This window comes from Homo sapiens, chromosome 1 (genome assembly GCF_000001405.40).
Source record: "Homo sapiens chromosome 1, GRCh38.p14 Primary Assembly".
Lineage (NCBI taxonomy): Eukaryota > Metazoa > Chordata > Mammalia > Primates > Hominidae > Homo > Homo sapiens.
In genome coordinates, this window is record NC_000001.11 from 149970234 (window position 1) to 149996646 (window position 26413).

At 41.5% G+C, this 26413-nt stretch overlaps 1 protein-coding gene across 12 annotated transcripts in view; it reads right to left on the reverse strand.

Moving 5' to 3' along the window:
* Positions 1-26413, reverse strand: part of OTUD7B (OTU deubiquitinase 7B) — a 129842-nt gene that overhangs the window by 32422 nt on the left and 71007 nt on the right. For 10 of the 12 annotated variants that reach the window (XM_047425721.1, XM_047425716.1, XM_047425712.1 and 7 more), the window contains exons 2-3: positions 7193-7343; positions 830-1018 (exon numbers count right to left, since the gene is read on the reverse strand). In XM_047425721.1, the coding sequence (XP_047281677.1) occupies positions 830-1018; positions 7193-7277 (274 nt within the window). In that variant the 5' untranslated portion in view covers positions 7278-7343. Of the gene's footprint in view, positions 1-829; positions 1019-7192; positions 7344-26413 lie in introns of those variants that run through there. The other 2 variants (XM_017001850.2, XM_011509788.3) reach the window with 1 other exon arrangement.

Genomic DNA, 26413 nt, shown 5'->3' on the forward strand with positions numbered 1-26413 from the left:
AAGATTTAATTATTGTAAAATAATGCTGCTGTGAATATCCTTATATGCTGCATTTATGTATTTCTTTTTTTAATTTTTATTCATTTATTTATTTTTTTTTTTGTAGACAGAGTCTCACTGTGTCACCCAGGCTGGAGTGCAGTGGTGTAATCTCAGTTCACTGCAACCTCCACCTCCCAAGTTCAAGCAATTCTCCTGCCTCAGCCTCCCAAGTAGCTGGGATTATAGGCATGTACCACCACGCCCAGCTAATGTTTGTATTTTTAATAGAGATGGGGTTTTACCATGTTGGCCAGACTGGTCTCGAACTCCTGACCTCAGGTGATCCACCCACCTCGACCTCCCAAAGTGCTGGGATTACAGGTGTGAGCCACTGCACCTGGCCTTATGTATTTATTTAGAGAATACTTATGTGCACATACACATATATGATAAATTGCTAGATATGAAATTGCTAAGTCAGAGTACATATGCATTTTAATTTTGATAGATATTGGCAAATATTAACAAATTACCCCCCAAAGAGGTAATGACTCTTTCAATTCTACCTTTATGTGAACTTTATATCAACAAGGAGATTGTTATCCTCCTTCCTCTATTTCTTTCACAGTATCTGAGGAAGGCTTTTATACAGGATAACACTAAAGATGCAGAGACGCAGTGAGGGACTGCAGCACCTGGGCAGACTGAGGCCACCTCAGTCTGGGTTTGGCTGGGAGAAGGGGAAGAAATGGAATCACCTCCAATGGATCACTAGACTTTATGACTCCATTTAACAATCCCCTCCCTTCCTACTCCATATACGGAAACATTCCAGTCACCCCAGTACCTTGAACGATGTCATCCTGCCGCTGGAGGATGGGTCGGGGAGGGCGAGTAGGCTCTCTGTCAGAAAACCCTTTTTCAGGGGTCCTGGAGCCACCACTCCCCTCACTAAAGGATGGGGGTAGGTTTCCAGCATGGACTTGACGTAGCTGTTCAAAATCACTGAGGGCGGCATTCACATCCCAATTCTTTCCTGTCAGGAGACAAAGCAAAAAGCAAACTGTGCAACCATAGTATAGAGACACAAAGATCACACTAACTATCCTATCAAAACCAGTATGCAAATACGCATGCACATAATCATTCTTCTTTTCCTTACCCTGCTTTAATTTTCTTTATAACACTTCAATCTAACTTATCAAATGTCTTTACTTACTTATTTGTTGTCTATTTCCTAAGTAAGTGCCATGAAAATAGAAACTTTGTCCCTCTGAACTAAAAGAGCCCTTAAAGATCTAGTAACCGAAAATTAAAACTTCCTTTTACAGATAAAGTCTAGAGAAGTAAATTATTTGCCCAAAGTCACAGCTAGTTCACACCAGACCCAGCAGGACTCAGGCCCAGGTCTCCTAATTCTGAGATCCAAAGAGGTTCTTAGCCTACATGTACTCTAGTGTGTCCTAAACCACTAAACCTGCATATAAGATCATGGGCTTGTGCATTTTCTAGTGAAAGAGTTCATAGCTGTCATCAGCTTTTCAAAGGAAACAGTGTTTCCCCCAAATTTAAGAATCACCATTCTACTAAAGAAATGACCTTAAATGATAAGATTTGTCATAATGGATTTTTCTGATGCTTTCTCCAGCTAAATTATTCAACAAATATGCATTGTATAATTGCTCACATTTCTTTCTGTTGTATTCCATCTACTACCACCTTAATTCAATTCCTATCACCTACTGTCCTACCTCCGATCCATTCCAAAGAATCCCATGAGATTAATCTTTCTAAAGCACAGTTGTGATCATTTTAGTTCCATAATCGAGATTTTTAATGGCTTACCACTGCCTACAGAATAAAACTCAGGCTCTTTGGCTTGATACTCAAGGCTTTGTATGTCCTGGCCTACTTTTCTGGCCTCTTCTCTGTGCTTCAATTTCCTTATCCGTGAAAATGCAGATGATAGTAGCAGTGCCTACCTCATAGAGCTGTTATGAAGATTAGATGAGTTGAAAGCACTTAGAATAGTGGTTGGTTTTACTCACAATTTTACGTCTAAATCATTACTGATGATTTTACTTCTAAATCATTACATTAGCCAATTGTTCTGACTCCCTTTGCTCACTCTGTTCCAGTCATCACTGACCTTGCTGTTCCTAGAACATGCTAAGTCCACTCTCACTCTAGGGCCTTTCCACTGACTATTCCCTCTACCTAGAAGGCTCTTTCCCCAATATATCCACACAGACAACTCCTCATTAGCTTTAGGTATTTGCTTAAACATCACATTGTTAGTAAGGCCTACCCTGACTTAAAAATCACAACCCACTTCATCATTCCCTTTACTCTTCTCCATAGCACTTAACAGTTTATAATATACTTTATAATTTACTTAGTTATCACATTTGTTGTTTATTGACCCTCTCTCCTGCTAGAACATGAAGGCAGGTATTTTTGTTTGTTTTGTTTTGTTGGAGCATCTAGAACAGTACCTGGCACACAGTAGTCACTCAATAAATATTTGTTGAATTAATGGATAACTCTTCTCCTGAATCAATGCATGAACGAGTGACATCTGCCTTGAGCATCGGATCTATACTTCCAACTGTCTGCAAATCTCCTTAAAATCAGGTCTTCCTAACAATCCACATGGCCAAATTGAGTATCCATCATTTTCCTTCCCAAAACTTGCTGCTTCTCCTCTTCCTATGTTCCCTAAATCAGTAATGGCATCACAATCCCTCCAGGCCCTGAAACTTCAGTCATTTTTAGCTCCTCAAGTTTCCTCAGATTGCACTCTTCCTCTTCCCTCACCACCAAGTCAATTTGTACCCCTAAAACATCTCTCAAATCCATTTCTTATTATCCATTTTTATTGCCACTGCCCCATTTGAGGTCCTCATAATCTTTACTTAGTCTTTGGTCTTTTAGGAAGGAATTCTCTATCTGGTCTCTCTGCTCCTAATCTCTTTCCTTTCTAATTTGTTCTTTATAATACGATAGTTTACTTTTGATTTCTTTCTCTCATTTTCAATTATCAGTATTGAACAGTCCCATTAGCCAGGTGTGGTGGTGTGTGCTCGTGGTCCTAGCTACTCAGGAGGCTGAGATGGGAGGCTCACTTGAGCTCAGGAGGCCAAGGTTGCAGTGAGCTGAGATCACACAACTGCACTCCTGCCTGGGTGACAGAGTGAGACCCCATCTCATACAAAACAAAACAAAAATCAAATAGTCCTATTGAAATACAATCAGTTAACTGTTGTTGTTGTTGTTATTGTTGTTTTTGAGATGGAGTCTTGCTGTGTCGCCCAGGCTGGGGTGCAGTGGCACGATCTCGGCTCACTGGAACGTTCTCCTCCTGGGTTCAAGCAATTCTCCTGCCTCAGCCTCTCGAGTAACTGGGATAACAGGCGCGTGCCACCATTCCTGGCTAATTTTTGTATTTTTAGTGGAGATGGGGCTTCACCCTGTTGGCCAGGCTAGTCTCGAACTCCTGACCTCAGGTGATCCACCTGCCTCGGCCTCCCAAAGTGCTGGGGTTACAGGTGTGAGCCACCGCACCTGGCCTCAGTTAACTTTTAAAAGAAAAAACAAGCAACAGAGAGAAAATGAGGATGAGGTCCTTTTATGCCCCTTCTAATTTTTTTTTTTTTTTTTGAGATGGAGTCTCTTTCTGTTGCCCAGGCTGGAGTGCAGTGGCATGATCTCAGCTCACTGCAATCTCCACCTCCTGGGTTCAAGCAATTCTCTGCCTCAGCCTCCCGAGTAGCTAGGATTACAGGCACGCGTCACCACGCCCGGCCAAGTTTTCTATTTTTTTAGTACAGACAGGGTTTCACCATCTTGGCCAGGCTGGTCTTGAACTCAACGGAGTCTCGTTCTGTCACCCAAGCTGAAGTGCAGTGGTGCAATCTCGGCTCACTGCAACCTCTGCCCTCCTGGGTTCAGGCGATTCTCACGCTTCAACCTCCTGAGTAGCTGGGATTACAGGCATGTGCCACCACGCCCACCTAAGTTTTTTGTATTTTTCCTTCTAAATTATCTTAATTCCACCTCCTTCTATCTATTGCTACCACCATAGTCTGCAACATCATCATCTGTCACCTGAACTAAGGCAATATTCCTAACTGTTTTAATCATTTCTTCTCTGGCCAGAGTGTTCTCTACAAGTACATTGTTAAAAACTCAAATCCAATCATGTCACTCCCCTGATTAAAATCCTTCACCAGTTTCCTAGTGAACTTAGAATAAAATTTAAACTCCTCGTCATGGCCTACAAAGGCCCTACACTCTTTTTTTCTTTTATTTTTCTTCTTTTTTTTTCTTAGTTAACTTTTTTTTTTTTTTTGTAGACAGAGTCTCACTCTGTCACCCTGGCTGGAGTGCAGTGGCAGAATCTCGACTCACCGCAGTCTCTGCCTCCCGGGTTTAAGAGATTCTCCTGCCTCAGCCTCCCAAGCAGCTGGAACTACAGGCACCCGCCACCACACCCAGCTAATTTTTGTATTTTTAGTAGAAACGGGGTTTCACCATGTTGGCCAGGCTGATCTCAAACTCCTGAACTCAGGTGATCCGCCTGCCTCAGCCTCTCAAAGTGTTAGGATTACAGGCATAAGCCACTGCACCCAGCCTCTTTCTTTTTCTTTCTTTTTTTTTTAAGAGATGAGGTCTTGCTATGTTGCCCAGGCTGGTCTCAAACTCCTGGGCTTAATTAAGCGACCGTCCCACCTCAGCCTCCCAGGTAGCTGGGATTACAGTGAATGCCACCACACCTGGCTAGAGCCCCTATTTTCTGCTTCCTGCCTATCTCACCAGCTTCCTACCACTTTTGCACCATTCTTACTACCTCATTATTAATAGTTTCTCCAATGTGCCAAACTCTCTTGCACCTTAGGGCCCTTGCATAAACTGTTTATTCTGCATAAACACTCTCTTCTACATCCCTTTGTCTTGCTGCTCCTACTTGTCCTTCAGGGCTCAGCTTAAAAATCACTCCTCGGAAAAGGCCTTCCTGCACTCTAGATCTAAGTTAGGGTTCTTTCTTCACTCTCACAGCACCCTCAATGTTTCTTTCACAGCATGAGTGTATGTGTGTGTGCACACATGTGAGCATGCTAGCAATAATTTGTAACATAATTGCTTACAGCCATACTCTGAAACCAGATTGCCTAGATTCAAATCCTACTTAAACCTCACTGAGCCTCAGGTTTTAAAATTATTAACTCCAGGATAATAAAACTTTATTGTATGGTGGTTGTGAGAATAAAATAACATATCTCAAGTACGTTGCACATATTGAACACTCATAAGTGTTCAACACATGTTATAAGAGGAATGCAGAAAGGTTAAGGATTTTATGAAAGAGGAAACATTTGAGCTGAATCTTGAAGGATGAGGAGAATAGAGGAAAGAAATGCTCCAGACTGAGGAAGTAACCTAACATGATCACCAAGAGGTGACAAGTCAGGCCTGGCTGCATAGGAAGTATAGGGAAAAGTAGTAGGAGAAGAAACTAAAAATGCAAATTAGGCTGGGCAGGGTGGCTCATGCCTGCCAGCACTTTGGGAGGCTGAGGTGGGTAGATCACGAGTCAGGAGTTTGAAACCAGCCTGGCCAGCATTGTGAAACCCCATCTCTACTAAAAATACACAAATTAGCCGGGCATGGTGGCGCGCGTCTGTAGTCCCAGCTACTGGGGAGGCTGAGGCAGGAGAAACGCTTGAATCTGGGAGGCGGAGGTTGTGGTGAGCCAACATCGCGCCACTGCACTCCAGCCTGGGCGACAGAGTGAGACTCTGTCTCAAAAAGAAAAAAAAAGAAATGCAAATTAAGGACAAAGTTGTACTAAATTACTAAACTGGAATTTAAACCCTGATCTTCTGTTTCCAAACTCATGCTCTCCTCACGGGTAGCCAAGCAAATGTCTAATTGTCACACCTTGCTAAGGGCTGGCAATTTAAAATATTACCTATGTATGCTAAGAACTTGCCCCTTCCCCATAGGCCTGCCTGTTTGTGTCATTACATATTTTCATCTATTATTTGTGACTCTAAACAGAATCCTAGGGACATGATTCTAACCCTTCAGGACCTTAAAATCTAGAACATTCAGCCAGGCATGGTGGCTCATGCCTGAAATCCCAGCACTTTGGGAGAGGCCGAGGCAGGCGGATCACCTGAGGTCGGGAGTTCGAGACCAGCCTGACCAAAATGGAGAAACCCCATCTCTACTAAAAATACAAAATTAGCTGAGTGTGGTGGTGCATGCCTGTAATCCCAGCTACTCCGGAGGCTGAGGCAGGAGAATTGCATGAACCCGGGAGGAGGAGGTTGCAGTGACCCGAGATCGCACCATTGCACTCTAGCCTGGGCAACAACAGCAAAACTCCGTCTACAAAAAAAAAAAAAAAAAAATACTAGAACATTCAAACTTATGTGTATAAAGATATAAGTAAACAAAAGCAGCAAAATGAAAACATTAAATTGATTCACTCAACATAGAATTACCCATAATGTATGTTATGTAAGGAAAGAACAAAACCATGGATGATCCCATCATGAAAACCCTAAAGTCACTTCTATATAAAGAGGAAGTCTTACAGATCTAAAATTATGCTTTTAGGCCGGGCACAGTGGCTCATGCCTGTAATCCCAGCACTTTGGGAGGCCGAGGCAGGCAGATTACCTGAGGTAAGGAGTTCAAGACCAGCCTGGCCAACAGGTGAAACTTAATCTCTACTAAAAAATACAAAAATTAGCCAGGTGTGGTGGCAGGCACCTGTAATCCCAGCTACTCAGGAGTCTGAGGCAGGAGAATTGACTGGACCTGGGAGGCAGAGACTGCAGTGAGCCAAGATCATGCCACTGCTCTCCAGCCTGGGCAACAGAGCGAGACTCTGTCTCAAAAATAAATAAATAAAATAAAATAAAATAAAATTATGTTTGTAATGGACTAATATAAAATTTCACTTGCATTGCCTGAGCATAAACTGACAATGGAGAAAACTACCCCAGTAAGTTCAAGGTGAAAAAGGGATTTTAAAATTTCTAATTATGACGGGTTATACACAAAGTATATCATTAGAATTAACTATAGGGCCTAACCTACACAAAGTATCTTCCTGATCACCTTAAATGGTCCAAATCATCCTAATGATAAATACCACATTTTACTTTCTCTTTTCTCATTCTCCCCTACAACTCCTCACCTTCTAGGAGATCTCGCGCTAGCCCTGGCTCTGCTCCTGTGGAACGGACAAAATCTGACAGAACAGCATCCATGTCCAGGGTCATGTGATCCTCAAGTACTTTCAGCCAGCTGGATGTAGGTAGAACATAGATCAAAATTCAGGCCTCCACCTGAGGAATAAATAAATACATAAGGCTCAAATTACACTGGAACAGGATAATCACAGTCCCATGTCAGCAGCTTCCTAACCAAATGGGGAAACTATCCTAGCTCATTCATTTCAGTTGAATTTTAAAATACAGCACTTTAAAATTATGAAGAGTAACATTTTATTTCCTAACTCTTCATTAACATCTCAACATCTACATTAACCAGGAACCTGTAATACCACTCTGAAAAATGCTTTTCCTGTACTTTTCCTGAGTACTGCTTTTCTACCATGAGTTTGCTTACCCAAACTAAAGAAGGAAGCAACAGGCTACCACCCTAAAGAACTCCCCACCTGCAATAGTCTCTAACATGGCACCTTTGTGTATTTCCTTACTGGCACTTGAATACTCTCAAATTATTTTAATTAGTTGCTGTCTAGCCATCTCCTCTAATATATGTTTCTTGAAAGCAGGAAACTTGTATGTCTCCTTCACTAATGTATCCCCTGCACGTATCACTTGGCACAGTGCTAGGCACACTGGCCCTCAATAAATATTTGTTGAGTGAATGAACAATTACTATACACTGGATAATTTCAGAGTTGACTAGTGTTTTGATGCTAGCAGAGGAGTAAACTGATAGCTAAAATTACTCAAAATACAGTATTAGGCCAGGTGCGGTGGCTCACGCCTTTAATCTCAGCACTTTGGGAGGCCGAGGCAGGTGTATCACCTGAGGTCAGGAGTTTGAGACCAGCCTGGCCAACATGGCGAAACCCTGTTTCTACTAAAAATACAAAAATTAGCCAGGCATGATGGCGGGCACCTGTAATCCTAGCTACTCGGGAGGCTGAGGCAGGAGAATCCCTTGAACCTACGTGGGGCAGAGGTTGCAGTGAGCCGAGATCACACCACTTCACTCCAGCCTGGTCAAAAGAGCGACTGTCTCAAAAAACTAACTTAAATTAAATTAAAGAATAAGTTATTCCACAAAGCAGAGTGGGGACCCAAAAGGTTCATAACAAGATTCAATCTCTGTCCATTAACCTCTTGAACCCAGGAAACACATCTACTCCAAACACGTCTTTCTCCACACAGGACAGATGACTGTCAAATAAGTTCAACTGAAAAAGATCTCTTCTTTCAGACTTTGGCAGAAACTATGTCCCTAACCTGACAGCCTGGCACCAATCCAACATTCCTCTGAGGTTAAAAGTCAGAGGGAAGCAATAACAGAGTAAAGAACAATCTCTGATCAAATTCTGCCAAGTTTACAGCTTTCTATAGAAGACTCATTCATTAAGTTGCCAGGTACACTTGCCCTACCATACCCACCAATCCCCTGCCTTTTGGGAAAGGTCAAAGCATAATTGTTGAAGGCAAAAAGTGGCAAGGCAAATAAACAAAAAAGATTTGTGGGTTATAAAACCAGCAGGTCACTAACTTGCTAACACTGGATTTTTTTTTTTTTGAGACAGAGAAAGATGGCAAAATAGAAATTTTTCTCTCTTGTCCTGTTCTAATAGTACAAGAGATCCATGAGCGCAGGGACACGATTTCTTCATTTTTGTAACTCCAACATCTAGTGTAGCATCTATAATATGGTAGGTAGTCAAATGCCTGATGAATAAATGATTCAATGACTAAGCCAATTTCCACATCAGCTACCAACAAACCAACCAATTTGAAGCTTAGCAGATCAGAAATTCTACGGCACTTCTTATCACCATTCTATTTCTAAGTTTTAAAAACTCTCCTTTCCAAAGGGACATCAACCATGCTGTCACAACTCTTACCTCCCTCACACTACATGAGTTTACCTACATACACCTATATGTATTAACTAGGTGACTTTGGTCAAATTACTTACAGGGTTTCAGTTGTCTCTTCTATAATCTAGACTTGTATTAGATGACTCATAAGATACTTTCAAGGTTTAAAAAATAAACTTCTTCAGTTCACTATAGCCTCATGATCTATGATCTTTGACTATCATTCTAGATATTGTCAATTTTAAATTTACCTGAGTTTCAACATCATAATTATCAGAAAGAATTACTAATACATAAAGAACTTTTGGTCTAAGATACCTCAAATTCAAAATGTCAAATTCAAAATGTCAAATTCAAATGTCAAATTCAAATTCAAAATGTCAAGTCCCTTACCTTCAGGAATTAGGAATTAAATTCCTTCAGAATTAATAGATGAATGAATCCTCCCCCTACCCCCCAGTACAGGCAAGAATTTCTTCTCCAAACCCATTTTAGCCACAGCCTTAGGTCAGAGGAAGTGGTAGCAGCTCAAATAACTTATACACATGAATAATCCAAAACCAAGTGTATAGCTGCAAAATAAATTTCAATCTTCTCTCTTTAAAAAAAAGCAACGCAACTGTAAAGCCATTTTAATAACTTTCTGAAAGAATGTGAGAAATATACAATAAGTACACAAAATAGTAATCACAAACAGGTGCTCAGCAAAAAGGAAAAGAGTTGACTAAGCCATAGGCATACAGGCAATTTCACAGCCAGACAGTCTTCTGGGTGAGAGAAGTGAATGAAAACTAGTGTTATGGCATCATAGATCTCACATGTCAACACAGCACACAGGCTATTCTTCTCAAAAAACATTTTAACAAAGTAATTTAGAGGTTCAACATTATCTAGAATGCCTTGCTCTTTAGCAAAAATTTGAAGCACTAAGCCAAACTTCCTAACAGCACATTCTTACATTTGATGTCTCCAGGTGCATGCTGTGGACCCTGACCTAACCCCACCCAACAGGTGAGAACAACAGCTTTTGTTACATCACCACTAATACCTTGCTTAAGCTTTTCAAATTCCAAATGGAGATATCAAACCAATGATTAAAACACAGTGTTTGGGCCGGGCACAGTGGCTCACGCCTGTAATTCCAGCACTTTGGGAGGCCGAGGAGGGTGGATCACCTGAGGTCAGGAGTTTGAAACCAGCCAGGCCAACATGGTGAAACCCTGTCTCTACTAAAAATACAAAAATTTGCTGGGTGTGGTGGCTAGTCCCAGCTACTAGGGAGGCTGAGGCAGAAGGATCACTTGAACCAGGAAGGTGGAGGTTGCAGTGAGCTGAGATGGCACCACTGCACTCCAGCCTGGGCGACAGAGCAAGACTCTGTCTCGAAAAAAACAAAAAGTTTGGGCTGGGCACAGTGGCTCATGCCTGTAATCCCAGCACTTTGAGAGGCTGAGGCAGGAGGATCACTTGAGCCCAGGAGTTTGAGACCAGCCTGGACAACACAGTGGGACCCTGTCTCTAAAAACCTTTTTTAAACTAATTAAGCATGGTCGTGTGTGCCTGTAGTCCCAGCCACGTGAGTGGCTGAGGTGGGAGGATTGCTTGAGCCTGGGAGGTCAAGGCTATATAGTGTGCGACAACTGTGCCCCTACTCTTCAGGCTGGGCAACAGAGTGAGACCCTGTTTCAAAAAAAAAAAAAAAAAAAAAAAAAAGCAAACCAAACACACAGTTTTTGGCTCTGTCTCAGGGAGGAGGAGGAGGAGGAAGAGGAGGAGGAAGAGGAGGAGGAGGGGGAGGGGGAGAAGAAGAAAAGCAGTGGCTTTCAACCTTTCAAATAAAACAGAGGAGGTTTTCAACTATTTGTTAACTGAATGGTGTAAAGACAGCTCTCACCTGGCATCATCTTCCAACTGAAAGGGACTTTAGCAATTACGTAATCCAAATACCTGCCCCCATGCAAGAATCCTTCTATTACATCTCTGACAAATCACATAGTCTCCACTTGGATACAAGGTCTGACAGGGACCTCATTACTTTGCTATAATGTCTACTTTATTACTGGACAGCTTTAACTGTTAGAAAATGCTTTTCTAAACTAAAACAAAAGCTATCACCAGCCTCACACCCCAACTATAACTTTCACATACCGGTTTTGATTCTGTTCTCCAGGACAATAAAATCTACTTCCCAAGGATGATGGAATTTTCATGCAAAATTGTTAGACAAAGCATTTCTTTACATAAACATTTGTTGTAGATCAGCATCATGATGTTGTTATGAGCCAAACAGTGGCCTTATTTTACAAAATCCTGTCTTATATCAGTACTTGCTTGTACCTATATTCATTCATAAATATTTGTGCTGACCTCATTGTATAAACTTAACAGGCTGAATAAATTATGTTGTTCAAAATTCGCTTCTGCTATCTTTGCCTCTCACCCCTACTTCCACTTCCAGACCATCTTGAAGTAATGACGCAGTCAAGAATAAAAACTAACAAGTTAATATTAGTTAAGCACTTCTAAAAACACTCTTACTCGGCCAGGCACAGTGGCTCACGACTGTAATCCCAGCACTTTGGGAGGCCGAGGCAGGTGGATCGCAAGGTCAGGAGATCGAGACCATCCTGGCTAACACGGTGAAACCCTGTCTCTACTACAAATACAAAAAATTAGCCGGGCGTGGTGGCGGACGCCTGTAGTCCCAGCTACCCGGGAGGCTGAGGCAGGAGAATGACGTGAACCCGGGAGGCGGAGCTTGCAGTGAGCCGAGATCGCGCCACTGCACTCCAGCCTGGGCGACAGAGCGAGACTCCATCTCTAAATAAATAAATAAATAAATAAATATAAAAAATAAAAACATTCTTACTCATTAATGACAAAACTCTTGCAGCAGGTCTCATTATTCCCAATTTATAAACAGAGAAAAAAAAAGACTTCAAAAGTCAGGTAGGTGGCCAAAAGTCTGAACCTAGATAGTCTGAACCCATGCTCTTTCACTGTACCATACTAGGGGATGCATTACTGATTCCTGGAACTCCCCTGATTCTTGCCCATTTAATTTGTTCACCATAGGAAAAGGTTGTGCCTATCTCTCGTATTTATCAAAGACTTAAACACCTGCCTTATATAACTTTATTTATTTATTTAGAGACAAGGTCTAGCTCTGTCACCCAGGCTGGAGTGCAGGAGTTTGATCTTGGCTCACTGCAACCTCCACCCCCCAGGCTCAGGCAGTCCTCCCACCTCAGCCTCCTGAGTAGCTAGGACCAAAGGCACTTAAATAACTTTAAATCCTACCATCTTCCTGAGCAATTTCAGTATCCATCTGCACAACTCGCCTAACATTTCTGCCTTAGAATTTCATTATCTCTTCTAATACTAAGACCACCTCCACAACAACAACTCAAACCTGGACCCTGCCATGTCCTGAAACCATTCCACCTCTAAATCTTAAACTCAAACATTTTACTCTGGCCACAACCTCATCTCCTTCCAGCTTCTCCTCTCTTACTTTTTTTTTTTTTTTTTTTTTTTAAGACGGAGTCTCGCTCTGTCTCCCAGGCTGGAGTGCAGTGGCCTGATCTCGGCTCACTGCAAGCTCCGCCCCCCGGGTTCACGCCATTCTCCTGCCTCAGCCTCCCGAGTAGCTGGGAAGCTGGGACTACAGGCGCCTGCCACCACACCCAGCTAATTTTTTTGTATTTTTAGTAGAGAGGGGGTTTCACCGTGTTAGCCAGGATGGTCTCGATCTCCTGACCTCGTGATCCACCCGCCTTGGCCTCCCAAAGTGCTGGGATTACAGGCGTGAGCCACTGCGCCCGGCCTCCTCTGTACTTTTAAACCTGCCTGCTCACTAAGACATCCAGTCTCTTAACCACCTTATTCATTAATTCAACAGAAGTATTTGGAGTGCCTTTGTGTGAGGCACTATGCTCATGAGTAAAAACACAACAGTGAACTAGACACAATCCCTATCCTCAAAAGCTTCCAGCATGGAGGAAAAAACCACAAAATCCTACCATCTTCCTGAGCAATTTCAACAACCACCTGCACAATTCATCTAACATTTCTGCCTTTCATAATCTTTTCAAATATTTTCACAAACAATTATAATAAAGCAATGTTAGAGAAGGGAGTGTTATCTCCTATAGGGAGTCAGGAAAAGCTTCCCCAAGGAAATTATGTTTCATCTATGAATTAAGATTAATTAAGATTAAGCAGCAATTGGAGAGACAAATTGGGAAAGGAAGAACGCTCCAAGCAGAGGAAACATGCGCTAAACTTCCGTGGCAGGAAGGAACATAAAGATGAGAATGTTGCTACAGGAGGATGAAGAGAGGGCCTAGTGGACCCTGTTAAAGATTTGAGATCTTATCTTAAATATAATGGGAAGCCACTGAAAGGTTGCACGCAGAGGTAGAACATAATCAGATGTGAATTGTTAAAAGATCACCCTGGTTACAATGTGAAGAGTTTGGAAGAAGCACAGTGGATTTAGGGAGAGAATTGATTAGAAAATTCTTGCAAAATAGCGCTAAACCAGGATAAAAGCAGTGAAGGTTGAGGGAAATGGATAGATTCCACTTTATCTCTTCTTACCTAACAAAGTAAAACCAATAATTGATCACCTAATTTACTTTCCTGTGAAAATTTAGTTTCCTTATCCATTTCATCTGTCCAACTTGGATGGATCCCACATTCTAACTTCCCTGCTAACCTTGCAGAGCAATATGACTACTAACATGTTATTCAGCCACCTTGCTTTTATTGAAACACTGCTATCTTTGCTTTAGTACCTCAATCAATCTTCTGAGCTACTATCCCATACCTTCACCATGCTCCTTGAGCCTCCCACCCAAGCCACATCACCTCCCCTTACTCCTGTCAAATGACCTTGCCTCCTACTTCACAGAAAAAAAAATTACAAAGCAAAGCAAGAGGGGTTCCTTTAGGTTTCCTCCCCTGCTCCTATTTGTTGGCGGTTACTCTCCTCTTCCCTGCAAATCTCCTTGTCCTCAACCTACAAAAATAGGCTTCTGCAGAAAGAGAATGGCACTGGCTTATATATAAGATGAACACAATCATCCTTACTTCTGCTCTCTTTGTAGCATTTGACACTTACTGACCACTCTTCCTGCTTCTCTGGCCCTGTGTCTTGGTCGTCTTTGTGGACTCCCATTTCTGTGACTGAACCAAACTTAGTGCACCCACCATTCTAGCCTTAGGCCTTCCATCTTCTCATTGAAACTTCATTCACAGCCCTAAGCACCCAAATGTTCATGACTCCAAATGTATCTGCACCCCCAAATTCTTTCCACCTCACCTGGGAATCATACAGGCACTTAAAATTCAGTATATAAAAACATGAGCTTATTCTCTCATCTCTGTCTCCCATCCTTTCAAACTATTCCTCTTCCAGTACTGCCTATTGTAGCAAATAGTCCCCAATCATCCAAGTCACAAGCCAGGGAGCCGCCCTGGACTTCTCTCTTGCCTTATCCACACAAATAATCTTTCACTAAGTTTTACTAATTTTACCTTAAATATCTCTCAAATCCCTGCAAAACCTTCCACAGGCTACAGCTCTTTTATTCTATCTCAGGTTTTCATAACCTGCACCCCAGGAAATAGCTCCCTAACTCCTCCCTCTACCTCTCTCCGTCAATTGATTGGCCTCCACAGGCAACCACTATGAGCAATTTAAAATGCCAGTATTATAGTATTACATCCCACTGTTCTAAATTCTTCAATGGATTTTCAATGGCTAAAGCCTAAGACTCAAATTCCTATACAGAGGCCAGGCACAGTGGCTCATACCTGTAATCCCAGCACTTTGGGAGGCCGAGGCGGGCAGATCACTTAAGGTCAAAAGTTCAAGACCAGCCTAGCCAACATGGTGAAACCCCATCTCTGCTGAAAATAGAAAAATTAGCCAGGCGTGGTGGTGTGTGCCTTTTATCCCAGCTACTCGGGAGGCTGAGGCAGGAGAATCACTTGAACCTGGGAGGTGGAGGTTGAGTGAGCCAGGATCATGCGACTGCACTCCAGCTTGGGCGACAGAGCGAGACCCCATCTCAAAATAAACAAACAAAAAAACAAATTCCTATACAGGGTCGGGCATGCTGGCTCACGCCTGGTGGCTTGCACCTATAATCTTAGCACTTTGGGAGACCACGGAGGAAGGATCACTTGAGTCCTGGAGTTTAAGACCAGCCTGAGCAATGTAGCAAGAACCCATCTCTACAAAAAAATTAATTAATTAATTTAATTAGTCGGGTGTGGAGGTGCACTCCTGTAGTCCCAGCTACTCAGGAGGCTGAGGTGGGAGGATCACTTGAGCACAGAAGGTTGATGCTGCAGTCAGCCATGATGGCACCACTGCACTCAGCCTGAGGGACACAGTGAGACCCTGTATGAAAAAAAAAAAAATCTATACAGGACAAACAAGGCCCTTCATGATCTGGCTCTACCTAATTCTCCAGCCTTTTCTACCTCCCATTATTCCCTTCCTTGTACTGGGAGTTCCCGAAGTGTACTATGTGCTTCAAATCTCAGTCCCTTTGCACATATTGTTCCCTCTAACTGGAGTAACTCCTAGGTGTAGCAGGTGAATTCTCACCTCTTCTTTAAAACTAACTTAAGTACTACCTCATTTGCAAAAGTTCTCTGACTTCCTAAATTGCCCACTTCTTTCTTGGTGCCCCCACTGCACCCTGTATGCTACTTCTACCATAATGTTTATCACCCTGCATGGTAGTTGTGTTTATTTACATGTTTGTCTCCCCACTAAACCAGGAACAATTTGAGGGCAGGAATCTTGGCTTGTTCATCCAATATTCCCCAGCATCCAAGCACAGCAGGCAATTTTTGTTCAGATGAACTGAAGTATATTTGTATGGTACCCCATCACACACACACACACACACACACACACACACACACAGTACTGTTGATAGTCTATCAGTGTTGTACACAGACAAGTCTAAAACAGTAACTCATCTCAAAGACATATGTTTAAGATTGTTATACGACTTTATTTGCAACAAATTTCTCTTCCTAAACATTGTTTAGCTCAGAGTAATATTAAAATCAGTCTGCATATTCCAAGTGTCCAACTTACTTAATAACAGAGAAAAATGACCCAAAATTAAAGACCATGGATAATAACCCTCTATTAAAATGCCAGAGAAACTACTGACCGTACATTCTCTCATTTACAACATCCCCCAAAGCTTCCAGAGTTTCACTCTCTAACCGTCTCCTGATTCCACTGAAGCATTAGAGCTGCATTTGAGTCCTCTCCAACTCTTCCCATAACTCACTGGAAAACCACAACATTCAAGACTGTCAAAAACTTTAAAAAGTCAGAGACTCCTCCATGTCTATGATGTCAGTCCCAAGGAATCCAGACAGAGAGAAAGAGGAGGGACAGAGGCACTTAGAACTTTCACATAATTCTTGATTAGGTGGGAGGGAGAGATGAATAATTGTCTTGGCAATTTGTTTTTAGTTAATATGGGTCCTTCAAGTCAAAGAAACAAAATATAACCTTCTTAGAAAATATGACCAATTTTACTATATTTTTTCTTTTTTCTTTTATCTGTGGATCTAGTCCTGAATCCAGACCAATCCTACTCTAAAGGGATCTATATAACACTAAATGTTACAATCCAGAAGTAACAAGATGAGTCTCAAAGTAAGAAGAGAAAGAAAGTAATATGTTTTAAAGCTTTAGATATTATTTCATTTAAACTTCCAAACAACTCTGAGAACTTGGTATTGTTACTCCACATCACAGATGAAGATACTAAAGCTCACAGAGGTTAGGTAATATGCCCAAGGCAACACAGGTAAAAGTGGCAGACCCAGGATTTTTATCAACCCAGCCCAGCTGACTCCAGAGAACATACGCTCACATACAATGCCACATTTTGTCCAGGGAGGAGGACTAAGAAAACACGGGCAGTCCACCATGTGGAAGTCCACCCTCACTGCTTCAACTCCTCTCAACTCCACATCAGAAGAAAGAACTGGCTCTGGATTCAGACAGATCTTGGTTCCAATCCCAGAGCTACTATTTAAGGGCTGTGTAATCATAGGTAAGTAATATAACCATTTTGTGCCTCAGATTCTTCATGTATAAAATGGGGGAAATGTATGCATTTCAGCCCTCCTGTTAGGATTAAATAACATACGTGAAGCCTTAGGGCAGCTTATTGATATACAATAAATCCTCAACAATTGTCAGTTGCCTTCTTTCTGCCCAATTCATTTCCATACACTCTCACTCCACTGGTGCCCAACATAGCCCCCTCCCTGTATCTTTCCTTTAAAAGCTTCCTCTACCCCTCCCAAACAAACCCTTCAGTCCCACGACCATTTCCAAAACAGAGTCTTGACACATACACACAGTGCCCAGCCCATCATTTCCAATCCAGTGTCTTTCAACTCAAGCCTTCAAGAAAATACCCTAAAGGGGGTCCCTTAGTTGTACCTTCCACCAGATGGTCTCTCAAAAATAACAGCAAAAGAAAAGTGTCTGTCCCTTCCTAGATGTACACAGCTACATAGCTCATTCATTCCCAAATCTCCAGGAACAGCAATTTCATACATATTTACTGGAATCCCAATGTCTTAATCTACCAATCCTACCTCCCCCACCTGTACCTCTTACTACTTCTACTCATTCCAGGTTCAAAGATTTTGTAATAGTCTCTTAATCTCATGTATATTATCTATTTTTTTGATTATTGGAAGGAAATGTTTACATATCCTTCTACTCACCCTGCATACTTCTGGGTTGTTTTCTACCTCTAATGCAGGATATACTTTGGGAATGTCTACTTTCTCCCCCTAAGTCAAACATGGAATAAAAAAAAAAATCTCAACTCAATCATATAACCACTCCCAAAACAATTTATTTGTTTATCATATGCTATTGTGGATACACAACATTAAGGTCTCAGGAACTAGTCCCTGGTGGCTTCATCACTACCACTAGTATGTGTGTGTGTCAGAAAAAAATTTAACTATTTTTTCAAGAATTTCTAGTTTTGTATCAGGCCTACAAACAGCAGGCCTGATATAAAACTCCAACAGACAAATCCCATCAATAACCAAAGGGTAATATAAAGATCAGGGACTAGTGAACAGAGAACTTGGAAATTGGCATTTGTCTCTTCAGTGCTACTGATAAAGGCTCCTTAAATTACAGTTATTTGGGAAATTTAATAATTTGGAAGACTTGCAAAAGGGAAGTAATCTTTGGGAAAATGGGGGCAGGGAGAGTCATACAGAAAGTCTGTTATTATAATATTGGCACAACAATAGTAGCTTAAATAGAAACAAGAATCATGTCAATGTTTATTTTTTTTAGATCCAGACCAGCATGTCTATTTGCAACACACAATGAACTGTTTTATTCCTTTCAACTAAGGCCAAGGATAGTCCAAGGTTTGGGCTCTCAACAAATTCAACTTTTAAAAGAATAACCTGCAAAAACAAAAGTTCTACTTGACCTATTAAAGATTCTAATCATTGAATTTTTCACACAAGAGAAAAAAACACTATAAATCAAGAGACTAGGCTAATAGCAAAACACACTATCTCTCTAGAATCAATTCTCAAACATTTATTCAGTAGCTGACAATCTTCTCTCCCTTTCTTGATTTCTTTAGTCATTTCACTATAAATTACAGAATTTCCATTCAAGGGGAGAAATAGAAGAAAAAAATTCAAATTACTATACTGTCTACTCTTGGTTATCCACAGGAAATTAATCCACTTCATAAATTTCTTCTGGTAAATTAATTTCCCTCAGCATACAAGTACTAATTAATTTCTTATAAAGCCTCAAAACAGGCCGGGCGTGGTGGCTCACACTTGTAATCTCAGCACTTTGGGAGGCCGAGGTGGGCAGATCACTTGAGGTCAGGAGTTCAAGACCAGCCTAGCCAACACAGTGAAACCCTGTCTTCACTAAAAATACAAAAATTAGCCAGGCGTGGTGGTGGGCACCTGTAATCCCAGCTACTCGGGAGGCTGAGGCAGGAGAATTGCTTGAACCTGGGAGGCAGAGTTTGCACTGAGCCGAAATCGTGCCACTGAACTCCAGCCTGGGTGACAGAGTGAGACTCTGTCCAAAAAAAAAAAAAAGCCTCAGAACAATTAGAAATTTGGGCCAGGTGCAGTGGCACACACCTGTAGTCCCAGTGAGACCCATCTCTACAAAAAACAAAACAAACAAAAAACCCACAAAAATTAGCTGGGCATGGTGGCACACACTGTAGACCCAGCTACTCAAGAGGCTGAGCCAAGAGGATCAATCGAGGCCAGGCATTCAAAACTGCAGTGAGCTATGATAGTGCCATTGCACTCCAGCCTGGGTGACAGGGTGAGACCCTGTTAAAAAAAAAAAGAAGAAGAAGAAGGTGGGGGGCGGGGGGAGGGAGGGAAATTTGTCTTTTATAAAATTATATAATTCAGTTAAAAGATGGATACTTCTTATTACTATCGTCATTTTTAAAATTCTCCATCTTTAAGTTCCATAGTTCCATCTTTGCTAGCCATACTTAAATCTCATTTGATCTATAGGCCCAGTATTCAAAACATCCACCTGGCATCTGCTGTTATTATTTACTGTCTTGTGATACTAGTTGACCTTCCTGATACTCACATTTTAACTCTCCAATCTGACTATCAGTCATTCATTCAAAATTTACCAAGTTGGTCTACCATCTACCAGGCACTGCCATGGGGCCTGGAGATATCCCAGTCTTACCTTCAAGGCACTCTGATCTGATGAGAGAAATATAAACATGTTATTAGTGCCCATTGGGATAGGAAGAGATATAGAAGCAACCAGTTTACCCAGGTGGGTTAGGGAAGCTTCTAAACTTTTAGCCAAGCCTTTAAGGACGTGTAAAAGCTCACCAGGATGGAGGACAAGAATACATTCAAGACAGAAGTAAGATTCTTGAAGTCTGCACCTTTCTTTTATACTTGAAAACATTCTAAACAGGCCTAACACATTGCTTAGCACATAGTAGATGCCTAGCAAATATTTGTGGTTCTAAACTATTCATGCTAGTCCGTATATGTGGATAATTGAGAGTTATCTACACCTAAAATAGGCTTGTGAGTTACATACTGGTTTCAAATTTGTCCCATCAAGATGTATAAATAGGTCTATATGAATAAATATAACTTATATTTGTATAGCTGTCTGTTCACTAATAGCTTCTCTGTTATAATTTTTTGTTTTTAAAGCACTTTCATAAATAACCTCATAATAAACATTTTTCAAATTAAATACTTTTTGAGGTTTTTAATCCCATCTATTCTGATGGAAAACATATACACATAGAAAAGTTTACAAAGCTTAGGCCAGGTGCGGTGGCGCATGCCTGTAATTCCAGCACTTTGGGAGGCCGAGGCAGGTGGATCACCTGAGGTCAGGAGTTTGCGACCAGCCTAACATAGTGAAACCCCGTCTCTACTAAATACAAAAAATTAGCCAGGCATGGTGGCACATGCTTGTAATCCGAGCTACTTGGGAGGCTGAGACAGGAGAATCGCTTGTACCTGGGAGGCAGAGGTTGCAGTGAGCTGAGATCGCGCCATTGCACTCCAGCCTGGGCAACAAGAGCGAAACTCCGTCGCAAAAAAAAAAAAGTTTACAAAGCTTAAATGATACCCAGATAGCACAGAGGTTGGGCCTATGTATTCGGACTTAGAATGCGGGGCTCATATCAGTTTTCTAGGGATTTATAGCAAAACCAGATCAGTCTAGATGTGCAAACCCCACAGGCTAAATAACTCTTACTATTTTGTTTTTTAAAATAATATCCATATTCACTACATTGTCTCCTAGCCACTACTACCCTCCCCACCTCCCACCAACCCCACAAACACACACACATTTTCCAGGTTGGTGTTAAAAAGCAGAAACTCTAACCCAGTGTATCCTGGGCACTATTTGGCCCTCTCATTTCTACTGATCGTACCTTTTATAATAATAATTTTTCTTTTAGAAGAAACCAAGTCTCTTTTATTTATGCACATAAAATTAGTTACAAGCATATAACACAATCTGATAGTTCTAGTTTACCTGGGAACATAGAATATATACTTCATTTATATAATTAATATTTCACATTTGGGTCTTATGTAGAACAAACCTGGTGGTGAGGTACAGAAAGTCAGTCTGTTTTCCTGATTGACACTTTAGAATCATAAACTTTTAGAACTAGAACATCAGAGATTATTTTTATTCCATACCCTCAAGTTACAGATGACAACACACAGAACCAGGAGAGTGAGATTAAGTGACTTGTCCAAATTCAAAGAGCTAACTATAGTAAAACTGAGTACCGAATATAAATCTGCTTACTCCCATTCCAGTAATCTTTCCTTGACTTCACATGTACCACTAGCCCTCAATTTTCCATGGGATCTACTTTGTGGATTTATTCACAAAAACTGCCTTTCCCCAGCCACCCAGCTAAATCTCTTACTCCTACAGATGTATACCAAAGAAAAAGATGTATACCTAGGAAATTTAATCACTTAAGCAAGCCATATTTAGGAAAGGAAATCATCTATAAAGTAAATCATGGGGCAGGGCACGGTGGCTCATGCCTGTAATCTTAGCACTTTGGGAGGCCAAGGCAGGCGGATCATTAGGTCAAGAGATCGAGACCATCCTAGCCAACATGGTGAAACCCCATCTCTACTAAAAATACAAAAATTAGCTGGGCATGGTGCACACCTGTAGTCCCAGCTACTCAGGAGGCTGAGGCAGGAGAACCACTTGAACCCGGGAGGCGGAGGTTGCACTGAGCTGACATGGCGCCACTGCACTCCAGCCTGGCGACACAGCAAGACTCCGTCTCAAAATAAGAAAATCATGAAGTCATGCCAAAACCAAATAATCATTTATGTTTTGCTCATCACTACTAAAGGTATAACTGAATTTGTAAGTATTCTTCTAATGTTATAACTATTTTGTAGCAAGAGGGTAGGACAAGATTATGTGTGACATCAGGATAATTTTTCTCTTCTACTGATAGTTTGAAGCTACTTATCATACACCATCCAGAAATCACAGCTATATCTAAATTGTTTTGTGTGCATGTGTTTTTTTTTTTTTTTTTTTTTTTTTTAGTACAGAGTCTCACTCTGTCACCCAGGCTGGAGTGCAGTAGTGCAATCTCGGCTCACTGCAAGCTCGGCCTCCCGGGTTCAAGTGATTCTCATGTCTCAGCCTCCTAAGTAGCTGGGATTATAGGTGTGCACCACCACACCTGGCTAATTTTTGTATCATAAAGACGGGGTTTGGCCATGTTGGCCAGGCTGGTCTCAAACTCCTGGCCTCAAGTGATCCACCCGCCTCAGTCTCCCAAAGTGCTGGGATTGCTGGCGTGAGCCACCGGGCTGGCCTATAGCTAAATTTTGAACAGGACAAAACATAAAACCAAGAGAGAAATAAACCACCAACTTTTAACATACTGTATTACTTCTCCTTAGCCAAAAGTGTTGGCCGGGCATGGTGGCTCACGCCTGTAATCCCAACACTCTGGGAGGCTAAGATGGGTGGATCACCTGAGGTCAGGGGTTCAAGACCAGTCTGGCCAACATGGGGAAACCCCATCTCTACTAAAAATACAAAAATTGGCCAGGCATGGTGGCACGTGCCTATAATTCCAGCTACAAGGGAGGCTGAGGCAGGAGCATCGCTTGAACTAGGGAGGTGGAGGCTGCAATGAGCTGAGATCGCACCACTGTACTCCAGCCTGGGCAACAGAGACTGTCTCAAAAAAAAGAAAGTATACAGCCTGAAAGCATCAAAGCAATAACTTCCCTCACATTCACATTTATTCAAGTTTATTTGTAGGGAGGCAATATTTCCTCTTCCCCTGAGGAAGGCCCACCATCAGTACAGTAGTGCCCAGGTCACTGCAATTCTCTCCTGATGAAAACCTTAACATCCTGACTCAATCATTCAAAAAGCATTCTTAATGCCAGGCAGGCTGCTAAGTGAAGGGGATGCATCAGCCAATAAGTCGTTATCTCTGCTTTCTAAAAGTTCATCTAATGGACTGGTTCCAGAGAAAACCCCAAGATAGATATCAGCCAACTTTCTTAACAAAAGGTTTATTAAGTGCCAGACCAGAGACAGAAAAAGATGAAGAGGAAATTTTAAAAGGTGAGAGGCTTTTTCAATTTACTAAACAAATTTATTAAACAATTTACTCCTTTGGATTATTAAAGTCATGTGTTCCTCTCCAAGAATGTCAATCATCAGAAATTGACTGTAAAGGTTTTTTTATGATAATATCTAACCAAATATTTTGGTCAAAGGCACTGTTTCCTTAATCTTACTAATCTGGGAAAACAAGCAGATACTGATCTACATCGATACATTTTAAAATATCTATTATATAATATCTGTATTATAGGAATGTGGTTGATCTTACCAAAACTGGGATGAGTTGCTTCCTGTGCAGACAGATGCTTCCAATAGAATGTACTCTAAGCCTCTAGGGTCAAACATGTAAATCCTGTTTAAACTTTCTTGCCCCATACTGAGTGGGTACAAGTAGTATGGGCAATGCTTCACAATGACCACAATTACATAGGCCAAGTTTTCAGTGAAGGTTTCTGTTTTTCCTTCTCCTTTCCACAAAAACTACAAAAGGTATCAATTAGTACACAAGCCATCTGGTAAACATCCATTGTGTTCTGAGCCTTCTTGAAATTAATCCAAGAAACCAACCCTTCTAAGAGTGAGTCCTATCCCATTATTATTTTTAACACTATTATTGGTAGTGGTGGTGGTGATAACAAGTGCTAACTTTGCAGTTCATAAAATACTTTCAAATGTATTATTACCTCATTCACTGAAAAAAATGAAGAGGGGATAAAAGGAAATATCATAGGCAATTATCTCAAACATCAAAAACAAAACCCAGCCGGGCGCAGTGGCTCACGCCTATAATCCCAGCACTTTGGGAGGCTGAGGTGGGCGGATCACGAGGTCAAGAGATCGAGACCATCCTGGCCAACATGTTGAAACCCCGTCTCTACTAAAAATACAAAAATTAGGTAGGTGTGGTGGCATGCGCCTGTAAACCCAGCTACTTGGGAGGCTGAGGCAGGAGAATCGCTTGAACCTGGGAGGCGGAGGTCAGGTTGCAGTGAGCTGAGATCACACCACTGCACTCCAGCCTGGTGACAGAGCAAGACTCCATCTCAAAAAAAAAAAAAAAAAAAAAACCCAATTTTTTGTTTTTTTAAGAGACAAGAGTCTTGCTCTATTAACCAGGCTGGAGCGCAGTGGCACGATCATAGCTCACTGTAACCTCAAACTCCTGGGCTCAGGCAGTCCTCTTGCCTTAGCCTCCTGAGTAGCTAGGACTACCGGCGAATGCCACCATGCCTGGCTAATCAAACCCAATTTAACTGGAATTGAAGAGCAAGCATTTTCAATTCAAGAAGTTATTTCTATCAAAAAAGCATTGGACTGACTCTAGCAATGCAAACATCACAGAAAAAATTTCCCTGTAAATTATCCCCTTAAATGCTAGGTCTAATTGATTCAGTGTATAAATGTTAAGATTACAGTCTCAGCAAGAATTTGACACTATAAATCTTTGTTTACCTCAATCTTTTTCCCAAATGCTTTACCCACAGTTAAATACTTAATAAATATTCTTCTACAGAAGGAATACTAACAATAAAGAAGCTGCTCTAGAAAGACAAACTGACAACATTTAGCATTCAAGGACCTTTTGAAGATTTAACGTTTATTGTGCACCTAATCCAAGTACCATGCATTACTTGTGGGTTAGATACATCCACATAAATCATCTCGCTAACCTCATCAACTATGCCCAGATACTCCTGGATCCCCAATACTAAATTGATTAGCTTTCCAATACCAGACAGTTCTAATACTGGCAACCTTGGCCGGGCGCAGTGGCTCATGCCTGTAATCCCAGCACTTTGGAAGGCTGAGCAGGTGGATCACTTGAGGTCAGGAGTTAGAGACTAGCCTGGCCAACATGGGGAAACCCTGTCTCTACTAAAAATACAAAAATTAGCCAGGCATGGTAGTGCGTGCCTGTAATCCCAACTACTAGGAAGGCTGAGCCAGGGGAATCGCTTGAACCTGGGAGGCAGGGGTTGCAGTGAGCCAAGATCGTGCCACTGCACTCCAGCCTGGGTGACAAAGCAAACCTCCACCTCAAAAAAACAAAACAAAACAAAAAAAAACACTGGCAACCTTGATCCCACCTAATTAATCCTTAGAACTTAACTGGAACTCAATTCCTACTGGAACTCAGCTACTCGCTCTAAGTCTTCAGCATTTTTTTTATGCTTTCTACGAGATAATGCTCAAAATAAATCCTTGCACCTGTTCTGAAGATGCTAACTCCAGAGTAAAGACCACACATCCCAGGTATGGCACACGGTAATAGTGGCCGTAATCTAAAACAAGTCCTCTCTTAGATAGCACAAGCTAAAGAATAAACCTAGAATGCTAACAAAACTGAATTTCAGCTGGGCAAAAGACATTGGATCTTGGTATTGTTTCCAACCTCAAAACTCTTTTCTAGTCCTCTGAATACAGAAAGCTTTTTCTATTTGAATGAATTGAGCAGGCAAGTTTGACTCAAGAGTCCCTACCTGCATACTCATCAGAGAGAACTGAGGGAAAACAAAAAAAATTCCAACTCGCATGACCACATTACAATGTTAACAACACATTACTCACCATTGTGCTACAAGAAAGAACCTGCAAGCAGGCACGAACTTTCAGGAAGCCAAAAAGAAACAAGCAAACAACATTCTCCTAGTTCTCAAAGCACAAACTCATTCAAATGCCAAAGCAGGTCACACTGTCCAGTTTATACCCAGGTACAAGTGAGTGGAGAGGGAGAAGGGAGAGGCAAGGGGAAGAGAGGAAAAGCATTATTGTGCAAGTATGCTTTTCAGCACCAAGACACATTTCTTTCTTGGATTCATCAAGACCATTTTTAACAACAACAACAAAAAAAACTGGGGTTCCACCTATTTTTATGCCTTTATATATTCACAGAGAACATCCAATATATGTAAACAGTGGCATAATGTAACAATGGTTGCAGACATTCCTTTTGGAATCCGTTAGAGCTATATCTAAATCCTACCTGTTACTTTCTTGATTTGTGACCTTGGGTAAATTATTTAACGTCTCTATTGCTTAGCAGATACTTCATCTGACATTCACTATAGCATCCTCAGGACCTTAAACAGTGCCTAAATCACACTAAT